At 40.1% G+C, this 18,762-nt stretch overlaps 4 annotated features.

Moving 5' to 3' along the window:
- Positions 1,748–2,248: an enhancer, noted in NCBI's record as "H3K4me1 hESC enhancer chr3:189894452-189894952 (GRCh37/hg19 assembly coordinates)". NCBI's record gives its function as "activates a minimal SCP1, AML or CMV promoter by ChIP-STARR-seq in primed H9 embryonic stem cells {active_cell/tissue: H9 hESC(primed)}" and the evidence as "EXISTENCE:reporter gene assay evidence [ECO:0000049][PMID:30033119]".
- Positions 2,249–2,749: an enhancer, noted in NCBI's record as "H3K4me1 hESC enhancer chr3:189894953-189895453 (GRCh37/hg19 assembly coordinates)". NCBI's record gives its function as "activates a minimal SCP1, AML or CMV promoter by ChIP-STARR-seq in primed H9 embryonic stem cells {active_cell/tissue: H9 hESC(primed)}" and the evidence as "EXISTENCE:reporter gene assay evidence [ECO:0000049][PMID:30033119]".
- Positions 8,455–8,584: an enhancer, noted in NCBI's record as "active region_20984". NCBI's record gives its function as "activates an Ori minimal core promoter by ATAC-STARR-seq in GM12878 lymphoblastoid cells {active_cell/tissue: GM12878}" and the evidence as "EXISTENCE:reporter gene assay evidence [ECO:0000049][PMID:35858748]".
- Positions 18,009–18,198: an enhancer, noted in NCBI's record as "active region_20985". NCBI's record gives its function as "activates an Ori minimal core promoter by ATAC-STARR-seq in GM12878 lymphoblastoid cells {active_cell/tissue: GM12878}" and the evidence as "EXISTENCE:reporter gene assay evidence [ECO:0000049][PMID:35858748]".

Below are 18,762 nucleotides of genomic sequence, written 5' to 3' on the forward strand. Positions count from 1 at the left end.
TGATTTTTGTATTTTTGTAGAGACAGGGTTTTGCCATGTTGGCCAGGCTGGTCTCAAACTCCTGACCTCAGGTGATCCACCCGCTTTGGACTCCTAAAGTGCTAGGATGTATACATCCTATTATAGGCATGAGACTGTGCCCAGAACTTCCTTTTAAAGAAAATTTCTGGATACAGACTGATATTCAAACTGACAGCACTAGTTTTCTCTTTTTAATTAAATCTTACCTGGGAAATAGACTGTCTGACTGACACTGTTAATTTTTATAAACGTCATTAAATATCAGAAGATTTTTGAAAAATGAAACAGCTCCACAGATAAGTCTGCATGCAGAAAATATCTAAACTCTTAGATTACCCAGTCAAGCTCTACTTCTCATCTTGATCTGCATGTTACTGATTGTTAAATTAGAAAAATGAAGTTAATTATATTGTATACATTCTAGCATATACTCATAAAAGCATATATACTATAAGTATTTAGTCAGTTTCTAAATTACCAATACATTGATATATTAATGATCTAAATGTCAGTTTCTGAGTAGTATATTTCTAACTTACTTTGTAATTTTCCAAAGGAAAAAAATCCTATAAATGATTTCAAAGTACCCAAGCTATTAAATAGACATATTATATATATATATATGATACCTCAATTATAATACATACAGCATGATAGAAACTTACCATCATGCTTAGCAGTGTGTGAATTTTTACAATGTGCACAGAATTCCAGGAAAGCAAAGATAAGTCTGACTCATTTTTAATTGAACCAGGGATTACTTCACCTCAATGGGCAATGCCTTTCTGTTAGAGTAGAATGAATTCTCTTTCAGTTCTATAACAATAGCAAATCCTATCACTTTGAAGGCTGTAGAGGGCAAATAGATGGATATCTTAAGCACACTAGGCTTCGGACCAATTAGTTGTAGTCATTTAATAATTATTCAAAGGCCTGTTAAACCCAAAGTCTGTGCTCTTGTCACCAGAAACACCAGAAAAACAATTTTTTAATAGTTGAGTTAATAGGGAATAATTTCAAATCATTTATCTTCTTTCAGTAATTTCAAATACACAGTAGTCAATAAGAAGTTAGAATAAATAGTGGCCCATTGGAAAAAGTCAAGATAGTGGACACTAAGAACCTGATCAAGAGCTTAAAGAAACCAACAAGGGTAGAATCACAAAATTCCAAAAGAAAATCCTAGTTGATTAACTTATTTTGTTGATTTGCAAGAACTATTGTTATGGATACTGTGTCTGGAATTGGTGGGTTCTTGGTCTCACTGACTTCAAGAATGAAGTCACGGATCCTCGCGGTGAGTGTTACAGCTCTTAGGGTGGTGCGTCTGGAGTTTGTTCCTTCTGGTGTTCCGATGTGTTCGGAGTTTCTTCCTTCTGGTGGGTTCGTGGTTTTGCTGGCTCAGGAGTGAAGCTGCAGACCTTCGCGGTGAGTGTTACAGCTGATAAAGGCAGTGTGAACCCAAAGGGTGAGCAGCAGCAAGAGTTATTGCAAAGAGCAAAAGAACAAACCTTCCACAGTGTGGAAGGGGACCCCTGCGGGTTGCCACTGCTGGCTCAGGCACCCTGCTTTTATTCTCTTACCTGGCCCCACCCACATCCTGCTGATTGGTAGAGCTGAGTGGTCTGTTTTGACAGAGTGCTGATTGGTGCCTTTACAATCCCTGAGCTAGACACAAAGGTTCTCCTCCCCACCAGATTAGCTAGAAACAGAGTGTGGACACAAAGGTTGTCCAAGGCCCCACCAGAGTAGCTAGATACAGAGTGTCGATTGATGCAGTCACAAACCCTGAGCTAGACACAGGGTGCTGATTGGTGTGTTTACAAACCTTGAGCTAGATACAGAGTGGGGATTGGTGTGTTTACAATCCCTGAGCTAGACATAAAGGTTCGCCTCCTCCCCACCAGATTAGCTAGATACAGAGTGCGGATTGGTGCACTCACAAACCCTGAGCTAGACACAGGGTGCCGATTGGTGTATTTACAATCCCTGAGCTAGACGTAAAGGTTCTCCACGTCCCCACCAGACTCAGGAGCCCAGCTGGCTTCACCCAGTGGATCCTGCACCGGGGCTGCAGATGGAGCTGTCTCCCAGTCCAGCACCGTGGGCCCGCACTCCTCAGCCCTTGGGTGGTCGATGGGACTGGGCGCCGTGGAGCAGGGGGTGGCGCTTGTCGAGGAGGCTCGGGCCGCACAGGAGCCCACAGAGGGGATGGGAGGCTCAGGCATGGCGGGCTGCAGGTCCCGAGCCCTGCCCCACGGGAAGGCAGCTAAGGCCTGGCGAGAAATCGAGGGCAGCGCCGGTGGGCTGGCACTGCTGGGGGACCCAGTACACCCTCCACAGCTGCTGGCCCGGGTGCTAAGCCCCTCATTGCCTGGGGCCGGCAGGGCCGGCCCGCTGCTCCGAGTGCAGAGCCCGCCAAGCCCACGCCCACCCGGAACTCCAGCTGGCCCGCAAGCGCCGCGCGCAGCCCCGGTTCCCGCTCGCGCCTCTCCCTCCACACCTCCCTGCAAGCTGAGGGAGCAGGCTCCGGCCTCGGCCGGCCCAGAAAGAGGCTCCCACAGTGCAGCAGTGGGCTGAAGGGCTCCTCAAGTGCCACCAAAGTGGGAGCCCAGGCAGAGGAGGCGCCCAGAGCGAGCGAGGGCTGTGAGGACTGCCAGCACGCTGTCACCTCTCAATACTTCTCCCTCAGTATGATAAACGGTCTATAGAATGGCATCAACGTTTCAGCAGACCAGTGCAGATTTACCATGGAGCTGATGGAGGTAAATTTCTACAGACTCTTCCCTAAGGCCTGGGAGGATCCCTTTTGCAACCATGTGGTCTTATGTTGTTATAAAGTTTACAAAATATTCTTATCCTTTAAACTTCCTTTTTGTTACTCTTCTATTAATGAAGTGTGCCCATGGAGTGGCCATAGGGAAAATGAGTTGGGAAAACATTTGGTTTGAGTTCACTGCAATATGTTTATGTGGCTTGCATTTACTGAATATAAAAGTATTTGAGTGCTATACACTAGTAGCAATGAGCACGCAGATCTAGCACACAAACCATCTCCGCCTAAAGGAATCAGGGCTTTTGGGACTTATGGATGGTATGGATGGTACCAGGGTTGGGGCAGATATAAAGTAAGCCTGCTGAATAACTTCTTAATCAAGAACATAAAGTGCTCAGAAATATACGAACATGTACAGAGACTCGGGAGCCAGCTTGAAGGGGCTCCCAGTGGCCATGTATGAGGCAATTTGATGACCAAAACATTAAATACAGTAATGAATTATAAATTATTGAATGAATAGAAATTTATGAATCCACATGATAATAAATGAATAAACTAGCAAGTAACCTGAGGAAAAGAAAGCACGCACAATAATAAGGCACATGGATTAAAATATTAGCTATAGGTAAATCTGCGTAAGGGTCTATACAGTTATTCTTTTACTGTGTTTATTTTCAAAAACTCTCTGTAAGGTTGAGGTTATTTTCAAATTAAAAGTTTTTTTTTTAAGTAGGTTATTGCTAATTTCTCCTGTGCAGGAATGATTTTCAGGAATACTCCTATGGCCACTGTGTCCAACTTATCCAGCAATGTGACCTCAAGATGCAGAGCCAGAGGTCATAGTGTGACAAAAATGGGTCCTGTATGACTCCGCACACAAAATATAGGCTAGTAGAAAGAAAAAAAAAAAAAAAAAACACCGTTTAAAATGCATTAATTTAGAAGATAATGTGTAGGAACTTTTTCTATCAGCTGTAACAACTGACATTTAAGTTCTTATTAGCTCCTAATCCATAAGAAGATCTCTTCTTATAGAAATATAATTGGTATTACGGGGTATGCAATTATAAACATAATCTTTATTTCAAAATTTGGTTAGAAACTATGCAAAATAGAATGTATTGTAATATCTGTGTCTGATGGGGCCAAATGTGAAGTAATGCTATAATAGTGAGTACATCTGTGAGTGAAAATTTGTATCTTATACATCCCAACATATGGGATCATGTCTGCACATATCTGCTTTTACCTTGCCCTGACAAGTCTGGAGCTTTCAGATAAAACAGCATGCAAAATTGCTTCTGACACAGCGAAATGGTCTGAAGAAAAAAAGTGTTCCTACATTTTCTATCAATGATTCAATTCATGTAATATAGTAATTACTTGATCATACAATTAGGTAACCCAATACACCATGTCAGACAATTTCAAAAGCGTTTGAATTGCTCCTGTCTATGGCATATCGAATAGTGAGTTATAAAGTTGAAAGAAACTCTTTTAAACTCAAGAATGAAAATATTTTGATCAATCACGCTAAAGCAAATATTGAATTATGCTTCTATTGTATGTAGAATACAATATCACAACATTATTATCTTATGAAGAGAGTCAAACTATATGGAACCAAAAGTATAGAAAAAAAATTATAGAGTATCAGATAGTTAAGTAATGAGAAATCTTATGTAATTTTCTGGATTTTTTTTTTCTTTTTTTTTTTTTTTACATTTATGCTGTTTGTCAGCTTTAAAAAAAATTGGCCAGGCACAGTAATCCCAGCACTTTAGGAGGCTGGGGTTGGAGGATCACCTGAGTCCAGGAGTTTGAGATCAGCCTGGGCAATGTAGTAAAACCTCTCATCTACAAAAAATAAATAAAATTAGCTGGGTATGGTGGTGCACATCTGTAGTCCCAGCTATCTGGGAGGCGGAGGTGGGAGGATTGCTTGAGCTTGGGAGTTTGAGGCTGTCATGAGCCGAGATCTCACCACTGTACCCTAGCCTAGGTGACAGAGAGAGACTCTATCTCAAAATAAATAAGTAAATATTTGGTAACTAGTAATTATTTCCTGATTCTAATAAACATTGTTTTCCTCTATCGGCAGACATATAATGTCTCATTGTGACTCTTTTTGTGATATTGACAGTCATTAATGATCATTGCCTGGGTCCTTTAATTTATTAGAGGGTGAAAGATTGGAAGATTTTAATTCACTTACACCTTAATATAATAGTACAAATGCTTCCATAAAGAAAAACTTCCCTCTAGCTATGGTTACACAGTAGTATACTTTTCAAAGGAAAAGTATGAGGGGTAATGAAGCCCATTTCATAATGATAAAGGGTTCAATTAATCAAGAGGACATAACAATGCTACTCATGTATGCACCTAACAACAGAGTTTCAAAATAAAAAAAAAAAACTAAAAAATACTGATACAAATGCAAGTAGAAATAGACAAACTCACAATTAGCTGGAAATTTTAATAACCCTCTCAATAATTGACCAAACAAGTAGACAGAAAATCAGTGACTATACAAAAGACTTGAACAATACTAATAACCAAATGGAACCAACTGACATTTATATAACACTGTACTTAATGAGGAGAGAATGCACATTCTTTCTAAGTGTACACAGAAAATTTACCAAGAGATACCGTATTCTGTGCCATACAGCAAGTCTTAACAAATTTTAAAGGATGTAATTGTACAGTGTATGTTATGTGACCACAGTGGACTTAAATTAGATATTAGTCAGTGACAGGCATCTGAAAAAGTCCCTCATATTTGGAAACTAAATGATACACTTCTGAATAGGCTATGAGTCAAAGGAAATTTCAAAAAGTAAAGTAGGAAGTATTTTGAACTAACTAAAATAAATACATACTCAAAATTAGTAGGATGCCACATAAGCAATCTTTAAAGGGAATTTTATAGCACTAAACCTACATTAGAAAAGTCTTAAATCAATGACTTCCACTTTAACCCTTAGAAACTAAAATTAAGTACAGTGCTTTTAACCCAAACTGAGCAGAAAAGATAAAATAATAAAGAACACAAATTAATGAAATAAAAAGCACTTACAACTGTAATGAAAGCTATTTATTTTAGATGATTAATAAAATTTATAAACATCTAGCCTGACTGATCAGAGAGAAAAAAAAGATGATGAACAAAATACCAGTATTAGCAGTGAGTGAGAGAGATGATATCACTACCGATTTTATAAAGAATAAAAGAATGAAAAGAGAATGTATAACTCTATAATACCTTAGTTAACATAGTGGAAACAGAAAAATTCCTTGAGGATAGAATTATCCTGATACCAGATCTTGACAAAAACAATACAAGGAAAAATATGTCTATTATATACACATTTATATTTATTTATTTTAAGGTAAAACACCTCATGAGTTCATATTCATACTTCCAAAATAAAATTCAGAGCTATAGGTTGGGCGTGGTGGCTCACGCCTGTAATCCCAGCACTTTGGGAGGCCGAGGTGGGCAGGTCACCTGAGGTCAGTAGTTCAAGACCATCCTGGCCAACATGGTGAAACCTCGCCTCTACAAAAATACAAAAATTAGCCAGGCATGGTGGTGGGGGCCTGTAATCCCAGATACTTGGGAGGCTGAGGTGGGAGAATTGCTTGAATCCTGGAGGCAGAGGTTGCAGTGAGCGGAGATGGCGTCACTGCACGCCAGCCTGGGTGACAGAGTGAGACTCCGTCTCAAAAAAATAAAAATAAAAATTAAAAAAAAAGTAAAAATAAAAAAGTACATAAAATAAATAAATAACATTCAGAACTATAGGATTTTTAATTATTCCCTTATAACATCTTTATCTTCTTTCTTTAACATGTAAAGTATCTTGGTTCTCAAGAACAATAAAGATACGTAATTAGAATGTCACATCATTATGCCTTTGTTTTGTCCCATATTATACATTTTATTGTCTCAGAAAGCAATACCAATATCATCCCTGATATTATGATAATTGAAAATATTTAAATATTTTAGTATGTTATTTCTTTATCTCTCCCAGATAATGCAGTAAATTTGTTCTCTCCTTGGAAAAATTAAAACGCCCACATTTTTCTGACCTGAAATAAAATGTAAGGTTTAAGCTGACACGCATGTGATATAAGAAAGATACTAGACTTTATAATTAGACACACTGTGATTGAATTTCTGCACTACCATTTCTAAGTTTTTACATTTGATCAAGGTCATTTATCTCTCTCTCTTTTTTTTTTTTTTTTTTTTAATTTTGAGACGGAGTCTCGCTCTGTCGCCCAGGCGGGAGTGCAGTGGCGCGATCTCGGCTCACTGCAAGCTCGGCCTCCCGGGTTCACGCCATTCTCCTGCCTCAGCCTCCCGAGTAGCTGGGACTACAGGGGCCCGCCACCGCACCTGGCTAATTTTTTTTATTTTTAGTTAGAGACGGGGTTTCACCGTGTTAACCAGGATGGTCTGGATCTCTTGACCTCGTGATCTGCCCGTCTGGGCCTCCCAAAGTGCTGAGATTACAGGCGTGAGCCACTGCGCCCAGCCGGTCGTTTATCTCTTGAAACTGTTTTCTTCATCCGTGGAATGGAGATCATCTCTACATTTCATAACTGTTAAGTATTAACATTCATGTGTTACACTTAAAGTGCCTAGCATATGGTAAGGGCTCAATAAATAAAAGTTATTGTATCTGAAGGAAATATAAAGATAGACAAGATGGCCCAAAAGCATGTTGGATATGTTACTAAGAAGTATCGTTCACATTCCTACTCTACAATGTGGCTATAAGTGTACGCAGGAATGACTCAGGTGAACATTTATTATTCTTAGTATATGTTTACACACATACTATGTCAGAAATCCTGAGTACTTTCACAAACATTTACGCTCTAAATGCTGTCAGTGAATCAGTAAGTTATTAATGTTTTCTTTTACGTTTGAAGAAATCGACTCACAGTTAAAGTGGCTTCGAGGTCACAGTAATATAGAGATTCTTGCCCGGAGACAAGAAAGAGCACTGAGTTATAATGCCAAAGTGACCAGCATCGTGACTTTGGAATTATAACTCGGTGCTCTGTCTTGTCTCCGGCACAAGAAGCTCTATATTACTGTGAAGCATGTCTATAACCAAGGCATTACACGAATGGAGCAGTGCAAATGGTAGGAGGCTGTCTAATTTCCCTTTAGAAGTTCTAGTACTACTGCTGTCTTCCTCTTTATTTTCTCCAGAGCACACATTGTGAGGCCAAGATAATGTGTTTATTGAGGGACTTTACTGGGGACACGTTCAGGAACTTTTCAGTAGAGAGGTTTGGCCAAGAGGTGCTGGTATATTTTCCATGGGATACATTTTTCAGCTGAAGATGTGATTGGAGGATTATCTCCCAGCAGTCACTGCTTGTTAAGCTCTTTTATTTTCTTCATTTGAAAGGTTTGTGGAATTATGCTGTGATCCACTTGTAGTGGAATACAGAGTAGAGACAAACAAACCACTAGAAATGGGATACAGACTAGAGGAAAACACACTTTATTGTCTTACTCAAGGACGCTATTGGCTGGAAGAAGACTTAAACGAGTTGCTGTCTGCCAGACCACAGCATGAGGCAGACAAACAGAAAACAATGAGGTCATGCAGAAGTAGCTCATTACGCTGAACCCAAAAATAGAAGCCTGACAACCCAGCTTGGTGTGATGTTGAAAAGCACTGGACTGGCAGTCAAGACATGTGGGTTCCAGTCCTAGTGTTAGTGGCAACTTGATGTATGGTTTTAGTCAATTCCTCCTGTTTTTGGCCGCAGTGTCTCTGCTTATGAACAAATAATGAAGGAATAAGATTAGATAACACCTATGGCCTTTGCTAGTGTGGCAATCAATAAATATATATTTATTTAGCACCCACTATGTGCCAGGAATTTTACTATGTCCTGGGAAAACATTAGTAAACAAAACAGACTTGATGCCTGCCTTCATTTCAACATGAAGAAAGAGCCAACAAATGGATTTATCTGGCCTTCACAGGCCTCGAATATCCTCTGGGGAGTAAGAACACTCCAGTTCTTTTGCTATGCCCGAAAGGGGATATACATTTGTATTAAAATTGCAACTTTTCTGCCATTCTCTACCTTACACTCTCATTATTTCTTACTGGAGTGGTAACAGTCACCTCTTCACCAGTCTCCTTGTTCCCATTGTCAGTCTTCGTATAACCATGCAAATTGTTATCAGAAATTGTTATCAGTGTTTTCAGAAACTGTCAATATCATTCTTCTTTTCAAAAGTCTTATTTTCCCTGGGACACACAAAAGTAAGTACAAATTTCTTAAGATGAAATTGAAAGACTCCCGTAGTCAGCCTGAAATCCCCTCTCTTATTTTCATCCATTACATGTATACATGTATTAGTCTATGCTTTGCTGTTGTTGTTGTTTTTCTTTTTTTGAGACAGAGTCTTGCTCTGTTGCCCAGGCTGGAGTACAGTGGCATGATCTTGGCTCACTGCAGCCTCCACCTCCTGAATTCAGGCGATTCTTGTGCCTCAGCCTCCTGATACCTAAGACTACAGGTGTGCACCACCACGCCAGGCTAATTTTTGTATCTTTAGTAGAGACAAAGTTTTGCCATGTTGGCCAGGCTGGTCTCGAACTCTTGGCCTGAAGTGATGTCCCCTCCTCAGCCTCCCAAAGTGCTGGGATTACACGCATGAGCCACCGCACTAGGCCTAGTCTGTGTTTTAAAGGAGACAAGCTACTTAACAGCTATAATCCCTATCGCAATCTGAGTTGTCAGTTTCTGTCACTACACCAAGAGCTCTTGGAGAGCAGGGATGGCTCCTTATATATCTCTGAGTCCTGGTGGCAAAACTGCACTTGGTGGCACACTAGGCACTGTAAGTGTTTGTGGAATTGATTGGTTGCTCTTTTAGCAGGATCTCTCCCTACCTGTTTTGTCTCTCACACTACAACCTCTCAATAAATAACTGCTGATTGTTGTCTAAACTAGTGCTGCTGATTGTTGTCTAAACTAGTATGATCTTTGAACTGCTAACATCGGCTTGATCTAGGAACTTGTTAGAAATGCAAATTCTTAAGACTTGATCCAAGTTTTTTTTTTTTCTTTTTTTTTTTTTGGCAGGGTCTTGCTCTGTCACTCAGGCTGGAGTGCTGGAGTACAGTGGTGTCATCATAGCTCACTGTAACCTCAACCTCCTGGGCTCAAGAGATCCTCCTGCCTCAGCCTCCGGAGTAGCAAGGACTACCAGGTGCACACCACCACACTCAGCTAATTATTTTATTATTCTATTTTTGAGACAGAGTTTCGCTTTTGTTGCCCAGGCTGGAATGCAATGGCCCAGTCTCAGCTTACTGCAGCCTCCACCTCCCAGGCTCAAGCGATTCTCCTGTCTCAGCCTCCTGAGTAGCTGGGATTACAGGTGTGCCCCATCACGCCCAGCTGATTTTTGTATTTTTAGTAGAGATGGGGTTTCTCCATGTCGGTCAGGCTGGTCTCGAACTCCTGACCTCAGGTGATCCATCCGCCTCAGCCTCCCAAAGTGCTGGGATTACAGGCGTGGACCACCATGCCTGGCCTAATTATGTTATTTTTTGTAGAGATGGGGGTCTAGCTATGTGGCCCAGGATGCCAAGAGTGTGGGAATTAGGAAATCTCCAGAATCGTTATGCATGCTAAAGTTTGAGAAGCACATTCCTAAACCATTACCAGGAACGAACTTACAGATTCTGGGAAGATGCTGACTCATGTTTCATTTAATAAAAATGTGGTTATTTAACCAGTGCCAAAACGCCAAGGCGGGGGATTCCATTAGTTGGTAGAATCTTAAGACATAGCCAAGATAAAGCCTGAGTATTGGCAAAGGTGGGACAAAAGGCAAGAATTTTTAAAGTCGCTTTGCTTATGATGGCTCCAGCTGTAGTGTTCTGCCCCACTCCCAATGAAAAATAGCAAAAATCAGCACTTGCTAAGTTCACACAGTATAATGAAACTCCCCTGTAGTATAGTGTTGCTGTGTGTTAGTCAAGGGCTAGGAGGGTGTTAATATGTTAAGCCTCACAGAAAATACAATTTTATTGTATAGGAACCTTTATAATACCAATCCTTTATTCACTAATTAGATCATTTATTATTTCCACTAATATTTATTGAGAGCCAATGATGTATAATCTGTATGCTAACTATTGTGGAGTTACACAAATAAGTAAAAGGCACAGGCTTCACAGTTAAATTGCTGACAGTGTAATGGAGGTAACGCACAATGAATATGCAGTTTTAAAACAATGCCATTTGTATTAACTAGGAGTAAATACCAGCTGTCAAACAGCCCAGCACATGAACACTAACCCAGTTTAGAGGGCTCAGAGAGGCTTCCTGGAAAATATAGTATGTTAGTTGAGGCCAGTAGCATCAGTAGGAATTATTTAGGCGATGGGTGCAAGGAGAAGGAATGAAGTGGGGAATAGTGTGAAAGGATGTTGCATGTAAAAGATATTGCATTTATATAAGCCAGAAAACAGGGTGGGAACCGCAGCAAGGTGCCTTCATAGGACTGTAGCTTGTTCATACTGGACAAAACGTAGAGTACAAAATGGAGTGAGGAGAAATGAGGGTGGTGAGATACAGGACCAAATTGTGCAAGTCTCCTAAACCACAATAAAGTCTTCTAAACCATATTTGTCCTGGAGAAGGAGTGAAGGAGATTAGAGTGGGTGGGTGGCAATCAGCCAGAAAGCACTGAAAGGTTTTAAAGCGGTGAAATAGCTACAGTCTATTTCTGCTGTAGAAGTAGTGTGGCTACAATGTGCGTAACATTGGAATGGGACAAGACTGGAGGCAGGGAGGCCACATAGAAGAATGGTGACTTGAACTAAGTTGCAATGGAGAAGGAAGAGAGGTGGACTCAAGAGGGTAAGTACTAAGAAGCAACAGCTTGATGGTATACTGGATGTGGAATCTAAGGTGGTGCCTAAGTTCAGCCTTGGGTAAAACAGTGGGTTCACTGAGATAGGGAATTCGAGAGTTGTAGTGCAGTGGGGATCCAGGGTTGGAGGGGACAGGAGTTTTGAGACAGTGATGACTAAGTGACCTGCTTTAACCCCAAAGTGAGAGCATATTTGAAAGCTGTAAGCCTGTTGCTCTTCAAAAGCACACTGTGGGCCGGTGTGGTGGCTCATGCCTGTAATCCCAGCACTTTGGGAGGCCGAGGCAGGCAGAGCACTTGAAGTCAGGAGTTCGAAACCAGCCTGGCCAACATGGTGAAACCCCGTCTCTACTGAAAATACAAAAAAATTAGCCAGACGTGGTGGCAGGTGCCTGTGATCCCAGCTACTCAGGAGGAGGGAAGAGAATCGCTTGAACCTGGAAGGCGAAGGTTGCAGTGAGCCGAGATTGAGCCAGTACACTCCAGCCTGGGTGACAGAGCAAGACTCTATCTCAAACAACAACAACAACAAACCACACACAAAACCACACACACACACACACACACACACACACACACACACGCACTGTGGAACTACCAGTTCTCTTCTGAATTTCCATGCTATTTCTGAATGAATATGCTTCATTGCGCAGAACAAGGGCGTACTGGGCACTCTGGATCAAAGGTGAGGCTTAGCAGTAAAATCGCTTTTTGTCCCACTATGCAGTTCAGTGAGCCAAGGAAAAGATTGAAGACCAAAGATGCTGCTCTTGTGTTGCTCTATAACCTGCATTTTAATTTTTTAGTTTGTGAAGTGGGAGAAATATTAACTTATTTTTCACAGCTGACCTAAAAACTTTTTAATTAAATATAAAACATCCTAAAAATTGAATTTGATTATACATGCCTAAACAACAAACTTGCACAACTTAATTTTTTAAAAAAATCCTAATCTGCAAAACTTAATCATTCTGGAACTGTTCTGAAGCCACAAGCCCTGAATTTTACTTATTTTTGTTTGTTTGTTTATATTTTTTAATATAGAGTCTTGCCCTGTCACCCAGGCTGGAGTGCAGTGGTGCAATCACAACTCACTACAGCCCTGAGTTCCTAGGCCCAAGCATTCCTCCCACCTCAGCTTCCTGAGTAGCTGGGTCTATAGGTACATGACACGCCATCTAGCTAATTAAAAAAAACAAAAATTATAGAGGTAGAGTCTCTCTGTGTTGCCCAGGTTGGTCTCAAACTCCTGGGCTCAAGCAATCCTCCTATCTCAGCCTCTCAAAGTGCTGGGGTTACAGGCATGAGCCACGGTGCCCAGCCCCTGAATTTTTGTAAATTGTGTGTTTGCCATCCCATCTCAAGCTCAGGGAGAATATAATATTCCTTCTACATGTTTAAAAACAGGTAATATATTAACCTAAGAAAACCTTGCTTTGGGATTAGAAATGCAGAACCCTTTGCATACATTGCTGCTGTATATCTAAGCTTTTGGCCACTGGTTCTATATAATCTTCTGTTTAATGATCTATTGTCCTACTTTGATTTGAAGATGATGTTTTGAAGGAAAAAAAAATCCCATGATTTGTTTCATAGAATTGAGATTTGAGTCCTGGCTTTGTTATTGCCTAGCTGGGTGACCGTTGGGCAGGCTTCTTTGTTGTTTATACCTCAACTATTTCATCTGGGCCTGTAAAAGTATTCCCTTCGGACACTCTTGATTCATAATTACTTTCTCAAGATCATCACTGGCATTCAACTTGGTCCTGTGCTACATCAGTGCAACCTCCTCAGGCCCACATTTTTATCCTGGTAACATCTCTCTGTTTTTCTTAACTGCTTTTTCCTCTACCCCCTCATGCACACACAAGCTGTTTGGTTGGATAATTGAAACTAAAAATTGTACATTCTTGAAAATCCTAAGATATTTCTAAATGGAACCTAAGTTTTTTCCTCTCTCTGTACCCTACAAATATTATTGCATCTGCTAAATAGCTTTCTGGAGCCCAACTTCAAATCAAGCATCTTGGAAATAGCAGAAATATTTAAATTGCCTCTGAATTAGTTGTGAAAATAATAAGACATAAGATATTGGTATTTATAAAGGCTTCATTGATACTGCCAGTTCCTATAGAGTTCCCCGAATATATTGGCTGTTGCTCCAGTATAAAGCAATGAATAGTAATAATTTACAATGAGATGAATTGACTATTAAATTTATTAAATTCAGCAGGAATTTCTCCCTCTGGATTTAAGACCCACTACCATGCAGCTCAAACTCTGTCATTAGTTCCATCTTCCATTGAACCCCAAGGCCCTGTCAGATAATATGGATTATGTGCTTCATTTGAATATGCCTTTGCATTCACATTTCATGTCTGTACTCATGTTGACTCTTTGATTTGGCAGAATAATAGCCTGGTTATTAATAAGAGTCTACATTTGCACAGGCATCTCCATGGTTTTTCCAATAACTGATTCCCATTTTGCAAAAGAAAACAGTGAAAACTGAGGAAAGAAATGCCATATTGCTAGAAAGCTACAGATCTGAGATTAGAAACTAGGTTTCAAAGCTTCACCATGGCCATATTGCCTCTCCTGGTATGATTGAAATGCAAAGAAAGATACTTTTAATAAATGCAGCCATATATTGTGTTGTTTAATGAATTATATATGAACAAATATACACATATTCTGACCCAATATGTCAATAGTGCTGAGGCTGAGAATTATTGGTCTACACTGAGGGTACAGCAAACTTTTGAACTGGCATTCTAAGCACTGGTCTTTGAAACTGCTAGCAGTACTATGTAATATGCTGATGGAAGAAAGGGCTGACTCCTCCACAAAGTGCTTTTGCTCCAAATTTTAGTAGAATTGTGACAAATTTGCTGGTGAGATTTGAGGCTGAATTTTTTAGAATGAATTATATAGATTCTCAACTTTAGCCTAGAACAGCAGTCTCAAAGAGATCCAGGCACCCTTAGAGGATCCTGAAACACTTTTAGGGAGTATTACAAATTAAAACATTTTTGCGATAATATTAGAATGCTGTTTCACTTTTATTTTTTTATGAGATTAGAACAGTTTTCCAGAGTCAACATAATTTGCAATATTGCAGCAAATTAAATTCAGAAGCCAGTATGAGCATCCAGCTGCTTTCTTTTAAGCCAGACATAAAAGAGATTTGCGAAAATGTATAACAACATCACTCTTCTCACAATTTTTTATTTTATAAAAAGATAATTACTTTTCGGCCAGGCACGGTGGCTCATGCCTGTAATCCCAGCATTCTGGGAGGCCAAGGCAGGTGCATCACATGAGGTCAGGAGTTACAAATCAGCTTGACCGACATGGTGAAACCCTGTCTTTACTAAAAATACAAAAAATTAGCCGGTCGCGGTATGCCCCTGTAATTCCAGTCACTCAGGAGGCTGAGGCAGGAGAATCGCTTGAATCCGGGAGGCAGAGTTTGCAGTGAGCTGAAATCGCACCACCACACTCCAGCCTGGGCAACAGAATGAGACTTGATCTCAAAAAAAAAAAAAGTTATTGTTTATAATTATGTGATTTATGTTAACATATAATGGGTTTATTAAATAAAATAAATAAATAATTTGGAAAGTCCCCAGTTTTCATTTCTAATATAGGAAATAGCAATAGATGTAACCTACATAAACAGAAGCACTTTGGAATCCTCAATATTTTCAAGAGTATAAGGAGGTCAAGAGACCAAAAAGTTTGAGAATAGTTATTATAGTGCAGAGCTTCTTAAACTTTAGTATGTGTATTAAATTTCTGCATATGTATAATATGTTAAACCGCATGCTGATTCTCTAGGTGCGATGGTTCATTTTATGTCAACTTGACTAGCACACTGGGGTGCCCAGATATTTGATCAAACATTATTTTGGGTGTGTCCATGAGGGTGCTTTTGGATGAGATTAACATTTGAATAATTGAACTGAATAAAAAATAAAGCGGGTTGCCCTCTAACATGAATGGGGCACATTCAATCAGTTGAAGACCTCAATAGAAGTAAAGGCTGAACCTTTCATGAGTAGCAGTGAATTTCCTCCTGCCTAACTGTCTTGAGCTGGCATATCAATTGATGTATTCCTTCGAACTAAAACTGAAGCATCTTGGGTCTTGAGCCTATAGCCCTTCACACTGAAACTATACCATTGGCTCTCTTGGGTCTCCGGCCTGCTGACAGCATATTTTGGGAATTGTCAGACTCCATAATTTTGTGAGCCAATTCTTTGGAGAACCCCGATCAATCCAGTACTTCTGGGGTGGTACCTGAGATTCTGCATTCTGTCTACCTTCCAGATGATCTTGGTCCATGGACCACACTTCTAGGAGCAGAGGTCAGAGCACCAACGTAACCTGGGAGTTTATTACAAACACAGAACCTCAGACCCTGAGTTCAGACCCAGTGAATCAGAATCTTCATTTTTAACAAGATTCTTAGCTGGCCCATTTGCACACAATAATTTAAGAAGCACTGTTCCAGCGTGGTAGTAATCAGTCCTGAGTATGGAGTAGAATCGCCTGAATAGCATTAAAAAACAAACAAACAAATGATGTCTAGACTCCACTCCAATTAAATCAGAATCTCAGAGAATAGAGCCTGGATGGGTTTTAAAAACTGCACAGATGACATTAATGTGCAGTCATGAATGAAAACTATTGGTCAAAAATAAAGACTGAAGGCCAACAATGACCGTCTTTGAGGCTCTTAATGAAAGAAAATTAATTATCTAGATGCTAGGATGGAAGTCAAAGATCTTAAACAAATATAGTATTTCTGGAAATTGACTCAATAGTTAACCAAGCAGTCAAACCCTTGACTAAAACACCAAAGGAAATATAGCACTACTGTGTATAAGAAAAAAACTGTACAATTTACTTTGTATTTTTAAATTTTTATTTATTTCTTTATTTTTTGAGATGGCATTTTGCTCTTGTTGCCCAGGCTAGAGTGCAATGGTGCGATCTCAGCTCACTGCAACCTCCACCTCTTGGGTCCAAGCAATTCTCCTGCCTCAGCCTCCTGAGTAGCTGGGATTACCTGCATGCACCACCACGCCCAGCTAACTTTTTGGATTTTTAGTAGCGACGGGGTTTCTCCATGTTGGTCAGGCTGGTCTCGAACTCCCGACCTCAGTTGATCCACTTGCCTTGACCTCCCAAAGTGCTGGGATTACAGGCGTGAGCCACCGCGCCCGGCCGTACAGTTTCTTATGTGTTTGATATCTTCTTCCTGGTGTGAGGACTTAGCTTTGAGTGTTAACCGAAAATTCTAAGTCTAGGGTTCCTAAGTTGTTATGTGCTGCACTATACAAGTAAACCTACAGAGATGGAAGTGTTCTTAGAGATTATCTAGTCCAAGCACTTCATTTATAGGTAAAGAAACCGGGGCTCAGAGAGGGCGATTCACTCACAATAGCAGGCAGCATAATTTAGTAGCAGCAACAGACCTGAGTTAACTCATAGCCCTTACATTTCCCCTGGAGTCATCCCTTTGTTCCCACAACAAGTTACACACTTCCATCAGTACTCCCTGCAGCCTGTAAGTACAGTGATCACAATGCCTCCTCGAAATTCTGCTCACTGTTGATTGACTATTGTATATACTAGGCATTTATGTATTCATGATTGTTTACCTAGTCATTCATTCAACAACTGTTCATGGAGCCTCCACCACATGGCACCAGGAAACTAGTACACTTGATTGAAAATAGTTATTTCATCACATTACCATTGTTTGTAGAATTGTTTAATAAATTTCAGGTCTCCTGATTTCCACTTCAGTGTTCATATAACTGCATGTCCTACTGTCCTCCTTGGCACATGAAGATGGCTGAAAAAACTGAACTGTTCACCCAGCTGGGCAAGTAGGACTAGGACCTAGATTTCTGGAACCATTACATTGTCCTCTCTACAAACGAACTATGGCTTTAAGACCAAACATTGATGCTGGAAATAATTAGTAACTGAAAGCTCCTCCCAGGTTTTCCTCTTTTCTCTGAAAATAGAAGTATTTAAAAAGAGAGAGAGGGAGTATGAGAGAAAAAGGAAAGAAAAGAAAAGGCACACTGTTTGATGTACTGTATGTTGGAAAGCTTTGGAAAAATTTATAATGTGCTCTGTACTCAGAGACAAAATTTTCCAAGAGGACATTTATACAATTTCTTCCAAGAGTCTGCATCCTGTTATACTCTGGAAGAAGTGACCTCATGGTGTTTGTATTTGTCTCTCTCACAAAACCTCTTTTATAGTATTAATGCATGTGCAGGTCTTAGGATATGTAATACATGAGGCCCTGACTTGGGCAGGTCATTCTGAGAACACGCTGCTACTTTCATAATGGCATCATCTTGTTTTATAGTGGCAGAGGGGATGGGCGGAGGAGAGCCAGCTAGGAGAAAGTTCTATGCCAAGTCATTTGGAAAATATAAGCTACAAGCAATTGAGGGAACCTAATAAATTTGAAGGATATTAAAAAGCGATACATGTTACTAGTCTCAGAAGAATTAACAGTAATCACTATAACCCCTTACAGCATATTAGAATTACAGTAGTTCCCTCTTACCTGTGTTTTTGCTTTCCATGCTTTCAGTTACCCACAGTCCAGAAATAATAAATACAAAATTCTAGAAATAAACAATGCATACGTTTAAAATTGCAAGCTGTTCTGAGTAGCATGACAAAAACCTCACACCATCCCACCCAGGGCGTGAGTCATCCTTTTGTCGAGGGTATCCACGCTGTGTATGCTGCACACTCACTAGTCACTTCACCCTTTTGGTTATCAGATTGTCACAGTGTCAGGTGCTTGTATTCAAATGACCCCAATTTTACTTAATAATGGTTCCAAAGCACAAGGGTAGTGATGCTGGCCTATTGTTATAATTGTTCCATTTGATTGCTGTTGTGTTTACCTAGTTTATAAATGAAATTTTATCATAGGTTTGTATGTATCGGAAAAAAAACAATATATATAGGGCTTGGTGCTGAG

The sequence above is a fragment of the Homo sapiens genome, chromosome 3, assembly GCF_000001405.40.
Source record: "Homo sapiens chromosome 3, GRCh38.p14 Primary Assembly".
In the NCBI taxonomy this organism is placed as follows: Eukaryota; Metazoa; Chordata; class Mammalia; order Primates; family Hominidae; genus Homo; species Homo sapiens.